At 39.8% G+C, this 6,748-nt stretch overlaps 1 protein-coding gene across 1 annotated transcript; it reads right to left on the bottom strand.

The window, feature by feature from the left end:
• Positions 1,908 to 5,388, bottom strand: SCGB3A2 (secretoglobin family 3A member 2). The gene is made up of 3 exons (NM_054023.5): positions 5,241 to 5,388; positions 2,451 to 2,653; positions 1,908 to 2,072 (listed from the first exon to the last, which is right to left on the bottom strand). The coding sequence occupies exons 1-3, from the start codon at positions 5,293 to 5,295 to the stop codon at positions 2,049 to 2,051; spliced, it is 282 nt and encodes a 93-aa protein (NP_473364.1). The 5' UTR covers positions 5,296 to 5,388; the 3' UTR covers positions 1,908 to 2,048.

The following is a 6,748-nucleotide window of genomic DNA, read 5'->3' as shown; positions in this document are numbered from 1 at the left end:
CATGTAATTCAATAGAAAAGAAAATTGCAAGTATGAGAGTCATCTAAGGTGACAATTACTTTGAAGTCATCAAGTAATGTGGTCAATTACATTACATTAATCATATTTGGCACTGCTCTTTCCTATAGGATAATTATACATCCCCTTCCTAAAGAAGTCAAACATGGTCAAATGACTTGCTCTGGCCAATTAAACATGATTGGAAGTCATATACTTCACTTTTAAGAAGAAGCTTTAAGAGTTAGCTCATTGTTCACCAAGTTCTCTTTCCCTGTAAACATAAGCAAAATGCACAAGAGAGACTATTCCATCAGCTCCTGTATAGAATTCATAAAACATTGATCATAGCTACAGCCAACCAAAGATGGCCACATACTGTGAGGAACAAGTGACACACTGTGCACGTAAGCCACTGAGATTTGGGATTATTTATTACTGCAGCTGGGCAACCTAATCTATCATTATAGGCATAGGTAAAATAAGGAAATAAAGTAGGAAATTTCACAGAGTGAAAGCTATTTTAGTTGCCAAAAAATGGAAGTCAAGCAATGGAAGGAAATTAAGATAATATCCCTAGAGATAACATTTAACATCATCTTAGTCAGAAACCAATTAAGAAACAGAAACTACTCAAAGTACTTACAACAGAAGGAATGTAATGCAAAGAATTGATTGAATAGACATTAGAAGAGCTAAAAGTCAAGTAGGTGATGGTAAGGCACCCAGAAACTGACAACAGGAGGAAACCACTAACTTCAGCTGGAGAGAAAAAGAAAGGAGGTGGTGTAACCAGAGCCCAGAGGCTGGACTCACCCAGCAAAAGCTGGGACCAAGGCAGGCCTATCTAGCAGGACCTGGAGCTCAGACGTGGTACAGTCATTTCCAGAGACTTCTCCCTAATACAGAGCCAGAAAGGGTCATACAATAGTTTTCCTCTTTTCCTACTTCCTATCTACTGCCTGCGCCTCCCAGGGGCAGAACCTAGCCCAAATGTCAGCTGATTTGGGAACCTGAGAAATGCAAGCTGCAGCAATCAGTATCATGTTTCCTGTCCTGCCTCAACACACAGCAGAGCAGAGCAGAGCAGAACAGGGGAAGTGGAGGAAATGGACCTGACAGCAAACAGTCCAAAGACTGACACAGGCCAGGTCTGAAGGTCGATGGTGGCAGACATTCTAGGTAGGAAGAAACTTGATTTTTCATTAAGGTGTAAGAGTGTTAGAGGGAAAAGGATTTAGTTATCTGTTCAGTGTGGCTGGAGTAGAGCGCATGTGAAGAAAGGAATGTAGATAAGAAGACTAGACGTGTAACCAAAAGCCAGATCATGAACAGCCTTGCATGCCATGCTCAGAAGCTTGAAATCTGCTCTACAGGCCGTCATGATATTACCAGAATAATTCCTTGGAAAGATAATTCTGTCATCACTGTAGATGACAGAGTAAAGGAAAGAAAAGATAGTTCATCACCCATTTGCCTAAGGATGATGTAGTAAAGGCCTAACTTGGTGGAAGGATTGGTGAAAGCTATTGAGTGGCCATAGCTTAACTACAAACTTAAGAACTAGCATTCTAGTGAAACAGAAGCCAAACCAATGAAGTTAGTAAGATGCTAGTCTTATCAGACAATATTTTGAAAATTATTTTTTCATTTTTTAAATGTAAAAATTTATTTAGGATGGGGGATAGGAAAGTGAAGGGTCTGAAAACACCGTGAGATAAAACATTTGGGAAAAATAGAGATGTTTAAATTAGAGATAAGGAAAGGAGAAGGAATGATTATGTCTTACTTAAGATTCCAGGTTTTCTTTATAAAAACAGGCTCTCTCGAGTTTATGAACCAAGGGAAAACTAATCTGGATACGTCCTTCTGAATAGAGTCCCCAGAAATAAAAATAGGACGACTGAAAATGTATTCATTGCTTTATTTGTCCTTTTCACGGGTCACTACATTTTAGGGCATTTGATCTATAATTGGTAGAACAGGTTTCAGGCAGGGAGGATAGGAGCATCATCTTCCATCCCCATCCACCTCCGCTCTTTATCTTGATGTCACACCAAGTGTGATAGCGCCTCCTGAAATGTAGAAGGACAACAAAATTTAGAGCAGCTTACATGTAATTCGCATGTTTCAAAACATATTCACTTCCAGTGTCCTGTTTGGCCACTATTTTACTGATGGGGAAACAAAAACTCAGAGTGATTACGTCTCATCCAAAATCACGAAGGTGGTAAATGGTATTGTCACAACTATAACACATGTCACTATCATTCAAAAACCCTTCCCAGAAATGTAGAAATTGTATTTTTCCTGAGATTCCAGGATGTGCAAACTTCCTATGAATATAATCAGTAAAGTGGAAATGCACATTTACAAGGGACAAGAAGAGGAGCTAGACATTCAGGGTGAGTATGCCTCCCCTTTGGCAGATTAGCCTCCCAAGCTGTGGTTACCAGCAGTTTCTTCACAGCTTCAGAAGCCTCTGGTCCCAGCTCATTTACACACTTCCTTAGCCCCTCCACAAGGTGCTCAACAGAAATGCCCAGAGTTTTCAGAAGAAGCTTTAATGGATCCATAAAGGGAAGAATGTTGTCCAGAGGTAAAGGTGCCAACTTGTCAACAGGAAGGGGCACTTTGTTGATGAGGAAGGCAGTAGCTGCAGGAAAAAGAGAAACCAGGTGAGACAGGCACATCTGGGCCCAGACTATGACCTCATCTTCTTTCCCTGTGTCCATCAATAGCTCCATTCCAGATCCACTCATCTTACTTCCATTGAAAACTTCTACCTCTGGCCCTTTGCACCTGCTGTTCCATCTCCCTAGAACTTTTTTTCCTTAGCTAGCTACTTACCTTTCTTTCTCACATTATTTGGTCTCTCTTCAAATATTACCTCCTCGGAGAAGCCTGCAATGGCCATAGTCACTCTCCGTCATTTATTTTTTCTTACCATTACCTAAAAAAAGCAACTCTTCATTTGCTGTTTTTATTGTCTTTATTTTCTCATTAGAATGGAGGCTCCATGAGAACAAGGAATGTGTGTTTTTTCGCTAATGCACCCATGCCTACAACTGACCCTGGCAGCGTAAGCATTCAACAGATCATTGTGATTGTCTGAAGGCGATGGTATTTTGTATGTGACTGTCTCCACAGCTCACAGCTTTGAGGCTAAAGGAGAGATGCTATAGTGAATCTCCACATAAAGACAGGAATGGACCCAACCACAGCCCAAGAAACTGCTCCCAACCAATTCAACTCAACGCTACAAACATAATTGAGCACCAACTCTATCTAGTCTGTGCAGATACATAGACAAATAAGACAAGGATGCCCATTCAGAGACTTCACACAGTCCAGTTGGTGATAGAAGATCTGTGTATGCCACAGTGTAGCATGTGCTATGCTAACATTATGGACAAAGCTCCATGGAAACACAAGAAAGGGATGACTAATTCTAACATGAAAGAGTGCTGCAGGAATTTTCCAGAAGTGCTGTTAGAGCTATGTCTTGAGGCAAATGTCAGGATCATAAGGTAAAGAAGAGGAGAAGCATTTTAGAAACATGACCAATAAAGGCACGGAACCATTAGGATAAAAGTGCATACACAGGATGGTGAGCCTTCTGCCCAGAAGGCTGGAGTGCAGATTTCCAATAGGCTATGACCAAAGGATGGAAGATAAAGGGAGTGAGGCTGCAAAAGTTGAGTGAGGTCAGATTTTTTAAAGTGTTGGATGTCACACAAAGGAGTTTGGATTTTTTTTTCCTGAGGGCAGTGGGGCGCTATCAAGGCTTTTACATAGGAAAATTACGTTTTATATCTTTGGCTTTAGGAAGATAACTTTCCCGTAGAAGATGAATGGTGGGAAAAAGTAGAGATTGAGGAAAATATGTACGATGTATTTTTTACAAAAACATGTGCAGATATATAAATGCACACATGCATGTGAGCACACACGTAAGAACACACATCCTCCTACTGGCTAAGACCTGCCATAGTTTATTTTCCTTTGGAAACCTATTATTTCCCCATTCAAATTATTAAAATGGAGCCTGTATATATTTTTTTAAATTTTCAATCACCTATTGTCCCTCCAAAATTCTCACCCAGAGGGGGCGGTATTTATTTTCCCCACCTCCTTTCTGCTGCCACTTTGCCCATAGATACCTGTCCCTGGACATTAGAGAACAGTGAAATATCCAAAACTGGTGAAGTTACAAATTCCTTCAGAAATTCAATAAACATCAAAAGCCAAAGTTGCCATTGTAGGTGTGGGCGGCAATCAATTTTTCATTATTAATCTCCATACTTCTTATTTCAGACATTTTGGTAAATATCTTCTCTGTATGTGTTTACAGCTTCCTGGGAGAAGATCTTCAAAGCCTTCTGTTCTCTCAATGAGCAGTGGCTATCATGAAATCTCTTTTTCCCATGTGCCCACACTGTCTTCCTGATAGTTACAATGATTCCTTCCAAAAAAATAAATCAGTTCCCATTCTCCTCCAAGAAGCCAGCTTCTATACCCTTACCTGAAAATTAAACTAATCACCCACCAATACACTAAAAGAGTTCTATCTGGATATCTCACAGTACGTTTACAGTAGTCTAGAATTATAGTAACTTAGGCAGAAGCCCTATCTATCCTACCAGAGTAGCACCTTAAGAACAATATTTATGACTGCTTCATGTCTAAATCTTCCAATGCCTATCCAGTGCCCAACAAATTGTAGCCATTCAATAAATATCCATTGAGTGGATAAACAGATGAATGTAGCTATCTCAGGAGAACCAAGCTAGCAAATTGGATAACTGGAGATGATAGCAAGAATGACTCCATATAGTTCAAAAGCACAAAAGAAATTATAAAGTCAAATTTTAACTCAAAATTGAGGAAAATAAGAAAAACGAATGGTGACCAATATCCAGCAGTGAAATGTGCTTTGTTGACCCTCCGTGGAAGTTGGCTAACTTCCTATGTAGGATGTATTAGAATACTTATATTGGGCTAGAGCTTAGATGGTGGGGATCTGAAATACTTTCCAACATCACCATTTTCTGTGATTCCAAAACTTCTTCCAACCCTGCAAATATGTGCAATTATTATGTGTCAGTTAAAAGTAAAATAAAAAAAAATACAATTCCTACCACCATATTCCACTGTCAGTGAGGCAAGGCTTACTAGTTGTGCTCTTATTAACAGAAAAGTAAAGAAATGTCACATATTCCAGATGTATTCCAGTTACTTACCAGAGTAACTACAAAGGCTGATGGTCACCAGCAGGAAGATAGTTACCAGCTTCATGACAGTTATCTGGGATATTTTTCAGGAGTTTAAAAATCAGAAAAATCTAGCAAAATCCACCAAGCCAGTGGTTCCACTTGCCATACAAAGTGTGATGGCTGCTTTTGCACACACATATTTATATGCCCATTGAGGACCTGAATTCTAGTCCCTACCACTTGACTCACCCCACCAAAGAAAGGGATAAATGTTATGTTTTCTCACCAAACAATTTGGAGGGTTTTCCACTTCCCCGTGTGTTCCCATGAGAAACAAAGCTCTACAGTACAGCATTCTCAAGTACCTCTTGCATAAACCCTTGCACAGAAATAAAAGCAGAAGGCAAAGAGCCCAACGAATCCTTCTCCTGGAAGAACATTGAAAAGAAGTGAAGAATTTATATTTGGATTAGAAGGAGTGTTTTCCTCTGGTTTTCTACATTTTTCCCCAGTTTTCTAATCATTTAAAGTTTGGAGAATCACATTAGCTGATGAACTACCCAGTTGTGAAAGCAATCTGGAGGCCACTCTGGTATAATACAGAGTCAGCTTCATGACATTTAGTGCCACATTTCTCTGGAATTCACCTGCCCCCAGCCCACTCACACATCTACTATGGTAAGATTTTCACACCTCTGTTACCTTTTCCAGTGTCAGTTACTTTGAGTATGTTCAGAGCATGTCTTCTCTGAGCCTTTGGATAGAATAATAGGCTTAAGATCTAAAATCAGAGTGTCTTTTGAAAAACCTGGGATTCAATTTTCACTGTTTGTGTAATCTTGGATTTGACATTTTTAATCTAGGATATTGGTCCTCTCATCTAAAATGGGAACATAAATAACACAACCAACCATAAGGTGTGTAGCTTGGGGAAAAAATTGTTTTTGCAAGATTCTTTGGCAATCAAATCCGATAAAATCATTCAAAAATACGTAATTGTAAGGTACTGGCTACAGGAGTAGTAATTTGTTTCCAAGGCTGTCTTTCTGGATCCAGGGTTCAGCCACAGGACCTCAGGACAACTTCATTTGTGAGCAGAAGTCCTGGAGTTCTTTGGGGCATCGAGTGGGCCCGACATGCAAGGAAGAGGGTAAGAAAGAACCATGAAGGGGTGAAATAGAAAGCGGAGTCCATATGGGCACAGGACCAGCTCAGGGCTCCCCGGCCACGTGGTACTGCTGGCTCCAGCCATTCCCACCACCAAAGTGGAACCCAGAAAATTTTGAGAAAACACACCTTAAGATGTAAGGCCAGAGGTTGGGGCTTTATTTGTCCTCATCTGAGGGTGTGGTATTGTAATGAAGATCTAATAAAATTATGCAGACAGAGCATTCTGCTATGCCAAACCAAAATTAATATCTAATTTATGTCACATTTTACTAATTTTTATGTTACCATGTTGTAACTGTCATTTCTTTATCTTTCTGCTACTTTATAAACTACTTTATAAACTACATGAAAGACACCATGAATGC

Source organism: Homo sapiens, chromosome 5, assembly GCF_000001405.40.
Source record: "Homo sapiens chromosome 5, GRCh38.p14 Primary Assembly".
NCBI classification, from domain to species: domain Eukaryota; kingdom Metazoa; phylum Chordata; class Mammalia; order Primates; family Hominidae; genus Homo; species Homo sapiens.
This window is presented reverse-complemented; position numbering and strand designations above follow the sequence as displayed.

Excerpts from the sequence above, each read along its gene's own strand:
- SCGB3A2 (NM_054023.5), bottom strand. The coding sequence starts at position 5,295 with ATGAAGCTGGTAACTATCTTCCTGCTGGTGACCATCAGCCTTTGTAGT. Across the intron at positions 2,654-5,240 it reads CAGCCTTTGTAGTTACTCTG|CTACTGCCTTCCTCATCAAC; the intron begins GTAAGTAACTGG and ends TTTTTCCTGCAG. Across the intron at positions 2,073-2,450 it reads AAGCTGTGAAGAAACTGCTG|GAGGCGCTATCACACTTGGT; the intron begins GTAACCACAGCT and ends TCTACATTTCAG.